The sequence below is a fragment of the Homo sapiens genome, chromosome 6 (assembly GCF_000001405.40).
Source record: "Homo sapiens chromosome 6, GRCh38.p14 Primary Assembly".
Lineage (NCBI taxonomy): Eukaryota > Metazoa > Chordata > Mammalia > Primates > Hominidae > Homo > Homo sapiens.
Window position 1 is genome coordinate 65695460 of NC_000006.12, and position 20011 is coordinate 65715470.

General features: G+C 34.7%; 1 protein-coding gene across 3 annotated transcripts in view, besides 2 other annotated features; it reads right to left on the reverse strand.

Moving 5' to 3' along the window:
- EYS (eyes shut homolog) overlaps positions 1 to 11767 on the reverse strand; it is a 1987247-nt gene extending 1975480 nt beyond the window's left edge. For all 3 annotated transcript variants that reach the window (NM_001142800.2, NM_001292009.2, NM_001142801.2), the window contains exon 1: positions 11676 to 11767. The gene's annotated coding sequence lies outside the window, so the exon portion shown is untranslated. The remainder of the gene's footprint in view (positions 1 to 11675) is intronic.
- Positions 2571 to 2740: an enhancer, noted in NCBI's record as "experimental_93466 CRE fragment used in MPRA reporter constructs". NCBI's record gives its function as "activates a minimal promoter by MPRAs in K562 erythroleukemia cells, with activity observed for the introgressed 6:66408008 variant allele {active_cell/tissue: K562}" and the evidence as "EXISTENCE:reporter gene assay evidence [ECO:0000049][PMID:34662402]".
- Positions 17519 to 17688: an enhancer, noted in NCBI's record as "experimental_93494 CRE fragment used in MPRA reporter constructs". NCBI's record gives its function as "activates a minimal promoter by MPRAs in K562 erythroleukemia cells, with activity observed for both the introgressed and non-introgressed 6:66422956 variant alleles {active_cell/tissue: K562}" and the evidence as "EXISTENCE:reporter gene assay evidence [ECO:0000049][PMID:34662402]".

Here is a 20011-nt window from a genome sequence, read left to right on the forward strand (position 1 = left end):
TATACCTCAGATCCAATGTAATCTTTTGATTTTTCTTCATATATCATGTGATAAAAGAGTTTTCAGTGGGAAAATAGGAGAATGGTAGAAGTCAGTGAAGGAAAAAGAGAGAGGAAGTTGGGTCACAGCCATATTAAGCTGATGCCTATTAAATATCAAGGAGTCAATCATTGTTATTTTTTTTTTTACTTTGCCTACCTTAGCAATGTTATATCTATATGTAACTATTTCTACAATAACATTTTATAAATACATGCACATACAGGTAATATGGCTCTGTCAAAAAGTTGATTTTTTTGTTGACTTTTATAGAAAACTATCTTTATAGTCAAGTATGAAGCTATATAAACATAGTTATATAATTACAAAGTAGCAATTTGGCTATTCTATATCCTGTGAATATTCAAACACATACAGAAACATACATGGTTCTGTATTTATAGTGTTAAGAAATGACAAGTTAACTGCAACTTGAGCATTTTACTCAAATTTGGTCTAAAATAATTATTCTAAAGCCGTATGAAATCCCAGAATTCAGCTGGGATTAGAGGGAATGATCTAGCTTGTTTTGGCAGGAGAATATATAAAAGGTAATATAATAGGTCTCTTTCCTACTCAGCAATCCTATAAAACAAAACAAAAGTTCCTCTGCCTGCAGTAGTGTATACTGAGATGAAAGTTAAAGATTCTGTTGTATTCTTCAAAACGACTGATCTTGGTTCCTGAGCCAGTATGCCTGTTCTGATTAAACATTTTCTGGCAAATTCTCAGAGATATATTTAAAAATGTCATACTCCTGGTTAAAAAAAATCTGTATTATTTATCTAAACATCTTTATTTACTTTACCATATTTGGTTAAAAATGTAAACTGATTCTAAAATACAATTCGTTGTTTTCAAATTATATTACCTAAATATGCTATAAGAATATTAGACAACTTTTGAAGTTAGTAACTTCGAGCTGATTTTAATCATTTATTTTGAGAGTAAACTATTTGTACATTTATTCATTTTGTGTGGTTGTTCTTAACGGTAGTCTTGATTTTCTTAGTTGCTATCATTATTACAAACCTCTTTCTCTGTTTTTGATAAGCTAGATTATTAAATGAAGGAAAATTAATGGAAAATATAGGGGAAGCTAAGATATGGAAACCTCTTCAAATTCTCAATTATATAACAATACATAAAAGTATCGTATAAATTATCTCACTGGTAAGGTAAGGCGGTACTTGAGTCTTGCACATCCTAAAAATGAAATGCTATTTTAATAATGATAAATAATTCAAAGATCACTTAAGCCATTGTAAATAAAATATTAAACTTTGAAATGTATTTTATGCACTGCTTAAATAAATTGACAAAAATATTTCTAAAGAAAATTTAAAAATCATCCAGAGTACTTAGAGTGTAGAATTCTTAATCTATATTGTTTCTTCTGCTAAAGGTAAGAGCTATCGAATAGCATATGTCTTCACTTTTAAAATACACCATATTGAATTCTGTAAGCTTAGTCTGGTTTTTGTTAGGATACCAAAGGCATGAAAAGATTCGATAGTTAAAAAATTCAAACTGCAGCCAGATTACATATATTCTGAGGCATGTATATCTCACATATATGTTTTTGTGTGTTTGTGTGTGTGTGTACACATATACATATAATGATAATTCACTTTGGATAAAAAGGTATGTTTTGTCTCTTAGTTTTAAAATTATTATAATTAACAGTCTAATAATTAAAATGATATAGATTAAAAAGTCAATTCTCAGTGTATATCATAACGAATAGCTACTTCATCATGTATACTTTAGACATTTTAAAACTATTCTTCACAAGCTAATGTGAAATTCATGTTAAGTGCATATTCACATCAAAGTCACTTTTACATTAAGTGTTTACTGCAGGCATGCTTTACAATGTCCACATGATCATCAAGGCTTGAGTGACCATTTGAGGTTTCATCTTGCATTCTATTTGTGCAGGTAGTCTTTCAGTAGATCTGACATTGATCATCTGTCAATTTGATTTTCTAATCTTATGAGACTCATTGTAAACAAAATAACTAAATGTATGCAGGCCCACAGAGAAAACACAACAGCTCTGCATTTTATTTCTGACAGAAGCATTCTTTTCAATCAAGCTTAAAAATAGAAGAAAATAACAGTATGTTTTCACTTTATGAATTCTTACCAAACGATTGGGTCCGAGGCATTTAGAATTTAAAAACAACTAATCTAAATAGAAAGAGCCTGGCTTGTGAAGTTTTAAAATTAGACGATGGAACCAATAACGAGCATATGTTAATGAAGACATGAAATCATCACGGCATTACATCTATCTTAGTCAGAGCCTGTCAGTATGCCCATTGCCTAATAAATTGTATCCCTAGTCACAGTTTATAAGACACAAGAAGACATTTTCAGAACCTACAAATGAAGCCAATATGTGACATTTCAAAACTGCTGTACTACCACAATTAGTGGAAAATATACAAAGTAACAAATACGACATTTATTTCACAAAGAGTGGCTTAAAGACTTGCCTAGCTCATCAGCTTCCTATGAAACATTGTCAGGTAATATTTATGTGTGTCAGGGTGGGAGGGAGACGGATATGGTTTAGGTCAGACGCTGGGGGAAGGAATGTATTATTTCAAATACGGTATCTGGGAAATACTTATTTGTCTGACAAAGGTGCATCATTATACATAAAGAATAGTTGCCTTCCTAAGCACTGACACAAATAAATATTTATCTTCCGTACATAGATGACTTGCATTAAAATTTGTAAATTTTTTATTGCTTAATTGAGAAGCATAATCTCTGAATATTAATAGACAACATGGAGAGTTAATGAAGTTTTTGTCATAATGCAGTACATTTCTCCAACATTCTCTAATAAAAGTATTTGTAGCTAACTCAAAATACTGGTGGGTCCTATATAATTAATGCATCGATTAAATATGAACTACAGGTTATATCAATAATATAAGACTTTTTCTTGAATTATAAATCAAAAAGAGATAAGAGCTGATGAAAACTATCCACATTTACTTTTAGGATGCTAAAAAAATGAAGAATGCATCTAGAAATTGTATTCTATGTAACTCAGATGGATTCTATCTAACTCAGATGTTATATCACATCTTCCTCTGAGTGTTCTCCCACAGCTGTGGTGTGCACTACTGTTTTTTGTGAATTTCAAGGCACCTTCTGGTTTCTATTACATGAATTGCTAAAACATTTACCATGCTGCAGGTGTCTATACATGTTATCCTTTGACTTCCTCATATACCTTTCCTTACTAAAATTCTACAACTTTGCATCAGCACAGTGTTTGCTAGTTAATTCTTGAAGTTTTTTCTAAAATTCCCCACAGAAACCATTAAACATGGATTGTTTCACCATAAGAAAAACTAAAGAATCAATCTTCCTGATATTATTCAAAACAGATTACTTTTTCCTACAATTACTTTTCTAAACTGATACAACATAATGTGTATTTCTTCAAACTAGTCAATAAGTAGAACAAAATCACCAGTTTTCACATTTGATTCAGCACGAGCTTTATTTGCTATTCATGAATTGGATTTACTTCCTATATAAATATTTCTCCCAATCTTTCTTACCATTTGGTCAATGTTAACAATGGCACTTGATTCTTGCCAAGTGAAAATAATTTTAATTTATTATCTTCTACTTGCATACGTATTCGTTTTAGATCACGTCTATATTTCTGTTTTATTATTTTTACTATGGCTAGATATGATATTTTGGATGCTTATTTGTGCTTATAATGAAGTTGAAGTTTCACATAATTTTATTCCTCTTTACAAGTATTTTTATCAAAATTATGAAACCCTATTTTACATATAATTGAAAATTGAAACTAATTATGAATTTCCCTTACTTAATAAATATTTGTCAAATTTTGCTCAATATTATGGTTCATACTGGGCAATGGTAATTACAAAACAAAAAAAAAAGAACGATGCAGACCTTGCTTTGAACAAGTTCACAATGTGGTAGGGAAACCAATAAGCCAACAGATGTAAGTAGTAGTCATGTACCCAATTTCACAGAAAAAGTCTGACATGAACATGTATAGTAGCTGCAGAATAACCTGGTGTGTGTAATCTATTCATCCTAAGGCAAGGAGATTTTTAACTGATGGGGTACTTATCAGCAAACAGTCGAGAGAGAAGACATGAACATTCTTCTGTAAAATGACAGGAAGCCCAAGTGCTGGAATGACTGGACAAAGGAGGTGAATGGTGAAATATGGAAAGGGACAGTCCTAATCAAAGTCTTATTAATGAAGGCCATGAACCAACCAAGCTGAGTTTGGATTATTCCCTTAAAACTATATTAAAACAGGCCGGGCGCGGTGGCTCACGCCTGTAATCCCAGCACTTTGGGAGGCCGAGGCGGGCGAATCATGAGGTCAGGAGATCGAGACCATCCTGGCTAACATGGTGAAACCCTGTCTCTACTAAAAATACAAAAAAATTAGCCGGGCGTGGTGGCGGGCGCCTGTAGTCCCAGCTAGTCGGGAGGCTGAGGCAGGAGAATGGCGTGAACCCGGGAGGCAGAGCTTGCAGTGAGCGGAGATCGTGCCACTGCACTCCAGGCTGGGTGACAGAGCGAGACTCCGTCTCAAAAAAAAAAAAAAAAAAAAAAAAACTATATTAAAACATCACAAGGATTTATGAAAGGGAGTTAAATAATCACATTTTGACTTTTGGAGAGATCATAGCTGCTCACAAGACTGGACCCTGGGAGACCAATTAGGAAACCATGGCAATAATCCAAGTGAGAGACAATCAGAACTTCAACTAAGACCGTGACAGTGACATGGAAAAAAGAGGGAAGCATTTTAATGATAGATATTAGGAAACAGAGTCTGCAAGAGCTTTTGACAATTGGGAAACAGAAAAGCCCAGGAATCAAGTAGGCTACACCAGAAATATCCAAAGGCCAAATGGGGATACTGTGGCTACATATATGTTAAATATTCTATGTTACACTTTAATTATTTTAACTTTTAAAACTTTTAATTTGTATGGTAGTATTGATCTAAATGTTTTTCTTTATCCTACTTCTTTAATATTTTAAATTAAACCTCTGGTGCGTAATATTGAGCTATAATATTTACTATATTCATTAAGCCTCAGGCATACTTTTTTACATTTGCCGTGTCAGAAATTGGAATGCACCTTATATTTCTTCTTACTGTTAACATATTACCAGCAACACAAAGCCCATTTCATGTTTGGGTTTTCCCTTATTTCTTAATCCCCATCCCATCTGCTTCCTTTCACAGGAAACCATTTGTAATGTGTTTGCCGTACGTTCTTCAGCATAGATATAGTCTTGTAAAATATAGTGTGGGTTTTGTGTATTTTCAGTTCCATTAAGGGTTTTGTAAATCCCATCTCTGTCCTACTTTACTCATCCAGCCTTGTTTGGGGACCAATCTATGTCACATATCTGGTTTATTGTTTCATATTGCTATACAGCATCTCATAGTGTGATTTACTGTATTTTATTAATCCATTCTTCTGGAGATGGATACACAGGTTGCTTTCAACTCCCTAATGCCATATACACCATCCTTGTATAGATCTTTGCAATAATTTCTCAGGAGTATATATCCAGGAGAGGAATACTTGCCTGTACTTTTTAAATATATTTCTTCCTCAAAGAGTATTGGAAAATTTATTTGACTATGAATATAAAAATATTTAAAATTATTCTCCCATTATTGAATAAATGGGATTGTGGCAACAGGCTACCTATGTGCATAAAATAACACGAATGTCTATTTTACTCCTTATGCCAAAATAAATCACAGATGGATAAGTATTCAAACACTAAGAAGAAATGAAGTCATATTAATACTGGGAGAAATAACATGGGAAAATTGAAAATAAATCTGTCCATTTTTCTAGGTTCCCTATTATCATCCTCCTTCACGCTTGTTCATCTCTCTGCAGTCAAGTCTCCTCACACAACTGCCAGATGATTATTTTAAAACAACTGACCAATAATACTCTTGCACTGTTATAAAAATCTCAGTTTAAACATTAACTTGCACTGCAATGCTTCCTGACTACCCAGTCTAAAATACCCTCCCAGGCAATGTCTTCTCACCCTATTTGAATTATCTGGATAGCTTTTATTATTTATTATTTTCTTCCTTATTTATTTCTTGATTTTTTTTCTCACACCTCTCCAGAAATAAAAGCTTAACAAAATTCACAATCTTTGTTGTCTAATTTGTCACTGTTTTCTCAGGACCTAGAATGTGCAGGGAATATTAACAGTGCATTTGTTGCATAAATAAATAAAAGGGCATATACATATATATAGAGAGAGTTTTTTGGAACAGGAAGCTTTGTAATATCACAGTTTAGAAATATTTCATAAGGCATTGAGTTGCATTCTTTTAATACTTGAACATATTTCTCTGACTTCAGTGCAAACCCACAAAGGTAGTATCGGACATTTAACCATCAAGCTGAAGCCAAACTTATATTTAACGAGCTAATATCAACATGTTGTGCCCTATGGGGTAATGACTGACATGTGCTTAACAAATCGTCACCACCACAGGGTAGGGAGATGATTAGGATCAGTTTTCTGCCCTACCATATCCTCAATGGCTCTCAGTTATTTCTTCCGTGTTTTGGAGAGAATATTTCTCTACTTTGTTTCTTTGACTATTTTCTTTCAAAAATAAAAGAATCTTTTTTTCTCATTACATTTTATTTGTAATTGCTGAAGCTACTTAATTTTACATTAATTTTCAATGTTTCAAAATAAGTTGTAGTTTATGAACAACAAAAAAGCTCACTAAGCTTAATGACAGTATTTACACTAATTTGATGATTGGCTTACTTATTTTCTGTAATAACCAAGAAAACAGATTAGCTTATAAAGCATATAAGGTGGCCAGGTGCGGTGGCTCATGCCTTGTAATTCCAGCATTTTGGGGGACCCAGGTGAGTAAATTACTTGAGGTCAGGATTTTGAGACCAGCCTAGCCAACACGGTGAAAGCTTGTCTCTACTAAAAATACAAAAATTAGCCAGGCGTGGTAGCACTTGCCTGTATTCCCAACTAATTGGGATGCAGAGGCAGGAGAATCGCTTGACCCTGGGAGGTGGTGGTTGCAGTGAGAAGAGACAGCACCAGGGCATTCCTGCCTGGGTGACAGAGTGAGACTCCACGTCAAAAAATAAATAAATAATAAATAAATAAATAATAAAATAAAATATATAAGGCAGTGTATAAATACATAGATACATATGTGTGTGTGTGGGTGTTTGTGTGTGCCTGTGTGTGCGTGTGTGCATAATGATGATTAATTTTATGTGTCAACTTGGCTAGGCCATGGTGCCATAGTATCCACTTTTTGGTCAAACATCAGTTTAGATGTTGCTATGAAGGTAATTTTTTAGATGTTATTAACATTTAAATCAGGAGACTTAGAGTAAAGAAAAGTGCCTTCCACAATGTGAGTGAGCTTCATCCAATAACTTTAAGGCTTTTAGAGAAAAGACTGAGGTCCTCTAAAAAGAAAAGCATTCAGCCTCTAAACTGCCTTCCAATTAGAGCTGCAGCATTAACCCTTCCCTAGATCTTCAGCAGCTGGCCATGCAAATATCAGACATGCCAACCTGCACAATCCCATGAACCAATTCCTTAAAGTGCCTCTCTCTCTCTGTCTCTCCTCTATCTCTCTCTCTCTATATATATACTGTTACTCTCTCTATATATATGTATTGTTACTCTGGAGAATTCTGACTAATGCATGCACATATACAGGCAGATAGATACATAAACCATAAACAGATACATAGAAAGATACATGGATAGATAGATATATAATAAGAAAATATGTGAGCAATAATTCTTTTTTTATAAATTTAACTATGTTAGTTGCTAATTTCCAGACTTATATCCTAAAATGTAAATAATACATTGAATAAACCACTTTAATGGTTGCATATTAACTTATAAAATAGATTTTTGCTAATATTACATTTTTATTGAGAATATATTCCTATCAAAAATTTGAATGAGCAAAGTGCATTGGTTCCATGTGTATTTATTTTCTACATATAAAAATTGAATTTATATTTATATTTAAAAATATTAAAATTATCTATTATCTATATTTACATTGAAGTTACAACTCTATGAATGATAAATTAATACTTTGGAAGTAATGAAAGAAAGCTCCTAGAAGAAATCTGATATTTTGAACTAACAATGTGAGAAATTCACATTATCTCAATTAAAGTATTTTATTGATATTTGGGACATCTAATGACCTTCTCTCCAAGACCTTGAGGACAGAAAAATGAATTGTTTCTGAAAATTAACTGTAAATTCATTATGTAATGGATTGGCATGGTGCTACAAAGTCACTTCAAAGATGCTGTCCAAGACTGTCAGATCTGGCTGTAATCTGTTAAACACAGTATTAACATGTCTGGAGAACGACTGAGCGAATTGAAAGTGGGGGTCGCTGAGAAGGAAGGTGAAAAGAAGAGCCATGGAAGCAATATTAGGCAGAGTCTTCAAGCAGATTCTAAGGAGGAGTAAACGCTGATATAAAAAACTCCACTGGAACAAGCCCAGTATTAAATATGCCACCACTGTGCATGTGGATGCTTTGAACTTTCTTTGTGTAATAAAGCATGCAAATCACATAACTCATAATCCTTAATATGTATTGAGTTCTCAGCTCACAAATACAGTGCATAGCACATTACATACAATAGTTTATGTAAGCTTCAACTCAACTAGATGAGATGTGTACTATTGTCTCCATTTCATAAAAATTATCTCCATTTTATGAAAATTCACTTGCTAAAAACTGCAAAGTTAATGAGTAACAGACTAATAGTCTTAAACCACTGTGTCTGACTTCAGAGCCCATGCTCGATTACTCTGCTAAGCTAATATTTTCCAGATTCAGATTCTAAATTCAACAAGTTCAGTTACAATTATAATTCAGGTTTACATTTACTTGTTCAAAGAAAGAATGTGTGCTTGATGGAGAGTATATCTCTTCAGACTTTGATGTGGTTCTATTTCTTGTCACAAAATAATAGACTGTTATACATTTATAACTTAATATTCGGTTATATTTGATTTCTCAGTAGCTTTCCCAAATAGATAAAATATAATAACTCAAGAATAGACACCTTCTATTCATCAGAAATTTTAGTTAGCACCATGAATTTAGTAAATACTATTTTGATCATTAGAAAATGCACTTGGTGAAAATAAGCATAACACTGAAAGTAAAATGCACCAAACCTTACACAGCAGTGATGCACTCACTCTCTGAGTTCTCTTGGGGCAAAACCCAGAATATGACCTGAGGCACATTTTCTAATCTTTGTTTCTTCCAGTTCATTCAAAGTTGAAAATTGTTTTCATCTTTATTCAGCATTATTTTCCAGGGTTATCTTCTGAAGTGTTAGTTTTATTATATTTAAAAATAGAATTTCCTCTGGGAACACATGGTTTTCTTAAAATGGTATTTTTTTCACTTTTTTATTTCAATGATAGAGAAGTGTAATAGGCATTTATTTATATCAGTTGGGCTAGCAAAAACTTGTATGATTAGACCACCTTCTCCAGTGTTATATGGGCACCATAAAAGTTACTATGAGCCTCTGCAAGCATACATGATTTTCATTAAGATTATTAAGTGGTTAGCTCCTGACAACTTAGGGCACTCACAGGGAGCAATTAACTCTTTGGCTACTGCCATTTAGGGCAGGAGCTTGGCCAGAGTCAAAGAATCTGGGCTGCATAGAGGAAAATTTATTCATGGAGCAGCTAAGCATAGCTTAACGTACTCAGGGCTTGTTGGCCACCCTTCCCCAGAAATGTTTTATTTCTTTTGGTCCTTTCCTCTTTTTTGTTTTCCCTAAGTTTTTTGTTATTGTTTTAAAGATGCTACAGAAGGGGAAAGTGGAACCAAGTAAGTCAATACAGTTTTGTTTTGTTTTTTAACGCATTAACTCAATATTTGTTGAATGCCTCCAAATCAAGGCTTGGTATTAGGTTTTAGTAATTCCATGGAAAAAGGGGCATTGTGCTTATTCCCTATGCTCACAAGTTATTCTCTAGTTGGTTAAAATGCAGAAAATTATACAAATTTTGTCTGTCATTTATTTATGGCAACTGCAAACATGGAAGTTTCTTCATGGTTTGGCATTTGAGTTCTTGAATATTGAGTATAGTCAGGATTAAATCAATATCAATGCCCTTTTCCTTTCTAAATAGTAAAATGTTGCAAACATTTTTGTTTAAAAGGGCCATTTTTAGGCCAATTAAAACTATTAAGTTAAAAACTGAGAATTATTTTTAAAAAATCTGAATTATTAACAATTGCAATTTTTGTTGATAATAAAAACACACTTTATCCACTAGTAATATTGTATTTCCTTAATCCTGCTAATAATATAAACTGAATCATTATTACCTAAATATTAAGTTTTAAATAAAAACTTGTTAGAATTGATAATATAAATATAGTATGAAAATTAACTGCAAAGTAATATATATCAAAATTAATGGCAAAATAATATATATCAATATGTTGCATGCTTCAATATTCATTTCATATGTATTTTAGAAATCACATTTAATAATTTTAGGCAGAATGATTGATAGACATATACTCATATGATATAGATGATATGAGTATATATATGAGCATATATACACATGAGTATATATATCAATAGTTTCTAATATTATGCAATTAACTTTGAAAATAACATTAACCTTTAAGGTAAGCAATGGTCCCTTATTTTAATATTGTATACTAAGTAATTACAAATAGTTCAACATACCTGATTTCTGAAATATTTAAATAATAAAGATTTTTAAGCTCATTAAAGTCATAAGAATTAAACAGAACTAATAAATCTTATTGAACCATAAATCTCCTAAATAATAAGACTGGTAGTGTATTAATAAGGTAAGAGTGTTGGACCTGTGAAACACCTTTACGTTTTCTTTTTAAAAATAAATAATCACACTACAGCTGTTAAAAAATCATCATATCTGATCAGTTGTAAGAAAACTTAAACAACCACGTACAAAGGAAACACTATCCTCACAGTGCCATTGAAGAGGAAAAAAATGTTGATCATTAACATGAGAATAAACATCACCTCCAACAAAACTAGTATGAGTATCTCTAGATTTATGGCCAAAATCTTTTCTAAACAAACTGAAAAATCATACAATTTCATTTGCAATTGACATTTCATGGCCCTATGTATATGCTAGCAGACAATGGGGGAAAACCTCAAAAATCGAAAGCAATCATAAGTACTTCATGACTAAATAAAGATTCTCTAGCAATCCCCCAAATCCTGTATCTCAAAGGAGGTGAAAATTATATTATTTGTATATCCAAGGAATATAAAGCACATGTTGTTTTTGATTCAAACAGAATGAATATCCTTAAGCAAATGACAGAGAAAATTTAGTGAAAATGTTTTATATATAATAAGTAAAAATAACTGGTTAAAGAAATGCTTATGATTATAATTAGAGATCTTTGTAGTTGTGTTCAGCTAGGCAGTGTTTTTATCTAGTAATAGAAAAATAATTTCTAGGTGGAATCAAGTATAACTTACCCCAACCATTAGCCAAGGAGGCTTGCAACCCTAGGAGGCTTCTGATTACGGTTAATGTCTGGACATGCCTAGCGTGTATCACTTTGTTTCTCAGAAGCCTAATCCAATAAAGCTTCTTTTATATGTGTCTTCTGAAACATAGCACTAAAAGCCTTAACCTTTTGCAGTACAAAGGTAAAGTCATTAAAGCCATGTGCAGGCTGACATAAGGCCTGGCCTTTATTTAGCTAATCTGGAGATGAATATAGCAAATCACCATCTGGAGCTTTGTGTAAATCCATAAGCAAAATACTTCTCTACAATTTAATTATTCCTTATTTTATTTGTAACTCACCATTTTCATTGCTAACTTCATAGGTCTCAGTCTGAATGCTTTCTTGTGTTTTTAGAGATTATTACAATTTTTTTTTTGTTTTTGTAAAAAACTCATATACAGACAGTGGGAGAAAGAAAAAAGCTTTCTGTTGCTAGGGAAACCTGATGCTGAAGGTTTAGTAACAACCTCAGATGGTGTTGTATAGCAAAGGCTGTCAGCATAAGAGAACAGAAAGAGGGCCTGCTGATGCGAAGAACGATTTTAGTATGTTACTTATTGATTCTATGATGATCTTTATAAAAGAAGTAATACAGAATCTACCTTTTCCTAAAGAAGAATTATGGGACTATAATAAAGAAAGCCTCAAGAAATTTATACCACTGAAAGGTAGAATAAATGAAATCTCACCTCTATCTGTGAGATTATAGAAAGAACAGTTACTGAGTGCATTAGAATTTTGTCAAATTAAGATTCTATTAGTATATCCTGAACCCACAGTCCCAGTTGGACACTGGCTTTAATACTATCCTTATATTTTCAAATTACTAAATTAAACATAAATCATTTGTATTACACTTGATCCTGCAGTAAGTGTGTGAAACATATATTTAATCACTCTCCTAATGAAAGAAAAGTAATATTTTAAAATATTAAAATCACACTGTAGAAAAAAATTTCTATTTGTAGCAATAAATAAAATTATACATGTGTATATGTTTTATGATTTATTCTTTATATAATTTATATAATATTTACACATTTTTCATGAATCAATGTGCTACTAACATTTTGTTATCTAAAGGGAAGAACTTTTATATGTTGACTCATGGAAATGAGTTATTCATAATTATACACTGTGGCCTCCCAAGACAATTTACGCTGAACATAACATAGTATCATGATGCACATATCCATTTATATCTGGAAAACAGTTCATCTACTATATCTTGCTTCTTGTAAGACTTAGAAGTTTCCTCCCTTTCTCCCTCTCTTCCTTTCTCTCCCTTCTTTATCTTTCTCCCTCTGTTACTTTCTCTTCCTTCTTCCTTCCTTTCTTCACTTTTCTTTCTCTTGCATCTCCCCCTATTATTTCTTTCATCCTTTCTTATATCTTTCCCCTACCTTCCCCCTCCCTTCCTCCTCCTCCTTCCCTTCCCTTCCCCCTCCCTGTGTCCCTCCTCTTCCCCTCCTCTTCCCTTCCCCTCCCTCCCTTTTCCCCTCCTCCTCCTCTCCCCTCCCCCCTCCTCTCCTTGCCCTCTGCTCCCCCTTCTCCACTCCCCCCATTCCCTTCCCTTCCCTCTTTGCTCCCTCTCCCCCTTCCCTTCCTCCTCCTTTTCCCCATTCCCTTCCCTTCCCTCTCTGCTCCCCTCCCCTTCCCTCCTCCCTCCCCTCCACTCCTCTCCACTCCCCTCTCCCTTCCATCCCCCTTCCCTTACATCTCTCCTCCTCCCTTCCATCACCCTCCCGTCCCCTCTCCCATTCCCCTCCCCCTCCCCTCCCTCTCCCTTCCACCCCTCCCCTTCTGTCCTCTCCCCCCCCTCCCTTTCTCATCCCTTTAATTCTTGCTTTCTTTTTCTTTTTTTTTTTTTTTGGAAGCCAAGTCTCACTCTGTCATCCAGGCTGGAGTGCAATGGCACTCCAGGGATCGTAGCTCACTGCAACCTTTGCCTTCCGGGTTCAAGTGATTTTCCTGCCTCAGCACCCCCAGTAGCTGGGATTACAGGCACCCCCTCCACCATGCCCAGCCAATTTTTGTATTTTTAGTAGAGATGAGTTTTCATCATGTTGGCCAGGCTGGTCTCAATCTCCTGCCCTCAAGTGATCCACCTACCTTGGCTTCCCAAAGTGCTAGGATTACAGGTGTGAGCCACCGCGCCTGGCCCCTTTCCTTCTTACTTTCAAGTGACATTTGATAGAAGAACAAAAAGAAACAAAGACAGAAATTTAACTATGCAGACATCGGTGGAAGAGATATTTAGGTAGAGAAAACACTGATTAAAAATATCCTAAAGCAGGCCAGAGATGACTGGAGTAGAAACTATAATTGGGAGCATGACAGGACAAGAGGCTAAAGCAGTAAAGGATAAATCAGAATGTGAATGTCTCCCTATTGGCCATTTTATGGACTTTGGCTTTTACTTTAAATCTCATAGAAAGTTCATGGAGGTTTTGAGAAGAGAAAATACATGACTTGACTAACAATTAAAGGATTAATTTTGCGGTGACTAGAGTGAGAGGTTGGTGGAAATGGGAAGATGCTAAACCAGATTAGAGGCTATTATATTCATTCAGACACAGGCTAGCAGTGGCTTGGATCAAGTTGGCAGTAATGAAGGTAATGTTGGATTCTGGATATAGTTTTGAACAGAATTTAGAGAAGAGATGATGAATTTGTTGTGAGGTATGAAAGAAATATATCCCAAATCTGTAAAAATTTAAATTTAAGACCTCAAACTATAAGAATCTTAGAAAATAATCTAGGGAACACCATTCTGGACATTATCCTTGGGAAAGAATTTATGACTAGGACCTCAAAAGCAATTGCAATAAAACCAAAAATTCACAAGTGGGACCTAATTAAACTAAAGAGGTTCTACATAGCAAAAGAAACTATCATCATGGTAAACAAATACCCTACAGAATGGGAGAAAATATTTGCAAGAAAAAAAAAAAACGCAACAAAAAAGACATAAACAGACACTTCTCAAAAGAAGACATCCCAGTGGCCAAGAAACATGAAAAAATGCTCAACATCAGAGAAAAACTGATCATCAGAGAAATGCACATCAAAACCATGCAATATCCTCACATACCAGTAAGAATGGCTATTATTAAAAAGTAAAAAAAAAAAAAACAGATGTTGGTGAGGCTGCTGAGAAAGAAAGAATGCTTACACACTCCTGGTGGGAATGTAAATTAGTTCAGCCACTGTGGAAAGCAGTGTGGAGATTTCTCAAAGAACTGAGAACTACCATTTGAACCAGCAATCCCATTACTGTATATATATCCCAAAGCACATAAATTTTTCCACTAAAAAGACACAAGCACTTACATGTTCATTTCAGCACTATTCACAATAGCAAAGATATAAACTCAACATAGGTGCCCATCAATGGTGGACTGGATAAACAAAACGTAGTAGTTATTCAACATGGAATACTATGAATCTATAAAAAAAGAAGAAATTAATGTCCTTTGCAGTAGGATAGATGCATCTGGAGGACATTATCCTAAGTGAATTAACGAGAAACAGAAAACCAAATTCTTCATGTTCTCATTTATTAGTGGGAGCTCAACATTGGGCACTCATGGACATAAAGATGGCAACAACAGACGCTGGACACTACTAGAGGAGGAAGGAAGAGAGAGAGAGAGGCAAGAGTTGAAAGACTGTTGAATTCTTTTAGTGCCGGGGTGATGGGATCATTCTTACACCCAACCTCAGCTTCACACAATGTGCCCAGGTAACAAGCCTGCACATGTGCTCCCAAATCTAAAATAAAAGTTGAAAAAAAAGAAAGATATCACAAATTTAACCACTGCGCATTATTTTCACTGCTGTCACTCTGGCTGAAACCATCACCATTTATCCCAAGAGTTAATGCAAACGTCCTTTAATAGATCTTTTTGTTTCCACTCTTGCCCACCTCCCTCTTCCCATGTTTATTTTTGGGAGAATAGCCACAGTGATCCTTTTAAAAATTAAGATATATAGTGGCAAATATTTAACCAAATTTTGTATTATTTTTTATTTCACTTAGAATAACAGACCAGAGTGGTTACAAGGACCTGAAAGGCCTTTCAGGATCTGTCCTTCTGTTACCTCTTTGATTTTCTTTTATTGATTACCCTGTTCCAAACACATTAGTTTTCATGCTTTTTCTCAGAGATAGCAAGGAGGTTAGCGCTTTAGCTTCTTTAGTGTTCCCCTTCTTAGAACACTTTTCTCTCAGCTACCTTGACTCAGGTAAACTGTCTCACCTTCAAGTGTATGAGTGCCCTTACCTTCCAGAATATACCTACCTTAACCTTGCCACTTAATTTTACAAGTTACTATTCTCATTCCAATCTGCTCCACCCAGCTCCATTTTTGTTTGTACAGAATATGTCACCATTGAGATACTATTTAACTGCTTATTAATATGTGTACTGTATAGTTTTCATCCTTCCTCTTGATTGAAATCACTAAGAGTCTAGGGATCTTTGTTTTTTTCCATCATGTACAATTGCATAGGACACTGTCCCACTTAGTAAGTGCTCAATAATTTTTTGCTGAATAAGCAAATGAAATAATAATGACTAAGTCTATGACCTGGGATAATAGAGAAGTCAAGTTTTATTTTACAAGTGGGGGAAGAATATGAAAAAAGTAGGTTTGGGGTGGGGTGGGAAAGGAGGTCAAGTATTAGCACTTGGCATTTTAAGTTTGAGAGGACTATTAAACATGCAAGTGATGAAACTATGAAAGTAGGTAAATAGCCAATGTTTGTAGTTCAGAGAAGGGATCCAAGTTAGACATAAACATTTGGGAGTTGTTAACACACAGATTATTCATAAAGCTATGGGACTAGAGGAGATTTCAGCAAAATTTAGAGATGTTGGAAATGAAGAAGAATCAGCAGATGAAAGTGCAAAGGAATACTAGCTGAAGTGGAAGAAAAAATAAGAGAATGAGGTCCCTGAGGCAGGTGAAGTAAACATTTCAAGAAGGGAATGATAATCTGTGCCATATACTGCAGACAGATATTTAGAACACTGGACTACAGGCATTTTCAATATATAACTTGCATATGTAGCTGAAGAAATGAGAATCATCATTCTCCCACAACAGTCCAAGGACGTGTGATCCAGTAGGCTACCTCAGGCTTCTCTGTTTCTGGCATCCAGCGTGACTATCTCTACTTTATACCTCAATACCTATGAGGTAAGGAAGGTATCTCTCAAAATTCTTGATGAGAGTAGGACCACAGATCCTTCCTAGTCTGAGTTCCCTATACTTAAAAAGGAAGTTATTTTCTTCCCCAACTCTCTCAGCCTGAAAGCAAGGGGAAAAAAATTCTTCCTCAAACTCCATTCTCTCTAAATACCCTCTCCTTTATTCATGGATTGAGTTTTTGGAACTATAAGCTCCCTCATCCCCAAAATTGCCAGTTGCCATTGAGTACTTTGTTTTCTTTAAGTGCCATTAGAGAAATTATTAGTGAGAGAATACATTATAAAATTATTAGAGACTATATAAGACAATTATTATTGTCCCACATATTCCATTCAAGATGGTAAAGGAAAGTAACAGTATTAAAGTTTGTTAATATGTCTTCTGGGAAAATTAGCCCACCCTGTCACAGATTCGATGTGCTGCACAGATCTATCCCGTGGGGTTTGGGAATTTAGACAGCTAAACCTAATTTTTCATGCCAATGTTGTTCTCTTTTCAGATCTTTAAAAATAGTCACTCATATCTGAAAAAACTTCTCACTTATTTGTAGGGAATTTTCTTATCTCATGGCTCCTGACAACAATAATCAGACAATAAATTATTTTCCCAATATCTGGGTTTTGCAGAGACAATAGAGTGTAGTTGAAAACTTGGGCCCTAGAATCACAGGACCTCAAATCAAACTTGGCTGGTCCAGTTACCAGTTATGCGACCTTGAGAAAATTACAAATTTATATATCTGTAAAACTAATATCATAGTAATGCCTATATTTGAGGACTGTTAAGAGGATCACAAATCATGCATGTGACACACATGCATGCATGCACACACACACACACAAGAGAGAGAAAGCACATGAAAAGTATTTAGCACTTGGCTAGTGCTCCACATATGTTAACTGGTATTATTTCAAATTCATGGCCAGAGGTGCACATCACCATGACAGATGCTCTTATGGTTTCGTGACAGTGTGAGATGAAAATATGTCTCTATGTTTTTTCTGTCTTCATTTACTCTTTGCTCTTGATATTTTGCAATTGTTTCTTGAACAAAATCAAAGGCATGGACCTATACGCAAACACACACACACACACACACACACACACACTCTTAAACACTCTTACAATACTTACAAACATTTACCGAACAGATACATAAGGGGAATTCAAGAATGTGACTCTACACACAACAAAATTAGCCATTTAAAACATTAGGGATCCCATTTCTTTCTTGAGTGTTTCAAACATCACCATTCTTCAGTGGAAACTTTACCTAAACTTTCCACATTCTCCAAAATAAAGAATCTTTTTGTTATCAGAAAAAGTTCAAATTCTCAAAAGAAATAAAATACTGTAAATAACAACAAGCACGGTAAAAAACTAAAACAATAGACCATTCTGTCATTTAAAGTACTAAAAATATTTAAGTATGACTATTTCAATTCTCAGAGCAACTCATTGCAGAGATTTATAATGTTTTATAGCTCATGAAACTTTATTCCCCGCAACCTGCCCACTAGCAATTTTAATTCCTTCCATCCCTGGGGATTTCCCCTTTGACACTGTTAAATCCCTTGAGTTAGTAATGTTTGCCTCCTTTTTCTTAAAACTTGAAAGACTGGTGCCCCTTTTTCTTGTTATCTGCTTACTTTAAAATCTCTTTCAAACTCTCTTATGCTTCCACAATCCCCCTAAAATAACTTTCTTGATGGTGACCAGTAACCTCCTTATTACTACTTCAAAAGGCCTCATAATTCTTTTTCTAACATCTAGGATTAAATTTCAGTTCTATCTTTTACTAGTTATATGACCTTTGTCAATCCATTAAAATTATATGAATCTCAGATTTTTACTTCTCAGATTGGTTGTAAAGAGAAGACTCTAAAACATTTCTGAAAGCACCCAATATAATAAATGGGATTTTTCTTTCTCACTCTGTTCATTTTGTCTTCCTTTTGCCTGTTTAAATCTTTAGACTCTGGCCACTTCCCTGAAAATTTCGGTTTGTGTGGCTACTATACTACACTCTGTTACACCTTTGTCTTTCTTTCGCCGATCCAGCCCCGCGCTCCTGACTCCAAAGTGCGGTGTACTGACATTTGATGGTACTGACTTGGCCCTCAGTTCTGCCCAGTCTCTCTCTCTCATCAACCTATTTTATGTTTGTGGAAATCTAGCCTTGTAATTTCAAATTTTACATGGCTCTAATGAACACCTAAATTTCTTCCTAATTTTTAGTAGAGATAAGGTATTGCCATGTTGCCCAGGGTGGTCTCAAACCCGTGGGCTCAAGTGATCCTCCTGCCTTGGCCTTCCAAATGTTGGGACTACAGGCATGAGCCACCACATCCAGCCTCTAATGAATACTTTTATCTTTATTTAAAAATATCAATTCTTCATTTGTTTTCTAAGTACCTACTCACAGGCTCTCATCATGTCCCTGATTTCAGTCCTCTTCTTGCATGACTGTAGGCATAAAAATGACCAAGAAGGTCATTTGATCAATGCTACCTATTGGGGAGTTTTTTCTGAACTGGTTATTTTTCCAGTACCTGAACTTCAAATCAATTCCACATTTAAAAAAAAAAAAATAGCTCTGATGAGGTCAGAGCTTCCCACATCACAAACTTCTACTGGCCTGTGCAAACTAATATTAGTTGTGGTATAACTTAATCACATGCTCACTACTTGTTAGTTTGTTCAAGATGCTATAACAAAGTACCATATACTGGGTAGCTTATAAACAACAGAAATTTATTTCTTGCAGTTCTGGAGACAGAGAAGTCCAAGATCAGGGCTCTAGCAGCTACAATGTCTGGTGACGACTAGTTTCCTGGTTCAAAGAAAGTGCCTTTTTGCTGCATCCACACATGATGGAAGGGGAGAACTCTAGTCTCTTTAGCCTCTTGTAAGCCCACTAATCATATTCATGAGGGCTCTGCCCTATGATCTAATTACCTCCTCAGGACTCTATCTCTTAATACCAATATCTTGGGGGTTAGAATCTCAACATATACATTTTTTTCGGTGGGGAGTTGGGCATAAATATTCAGACCCTAGCAATACCTTTTGTTCTATTAAATA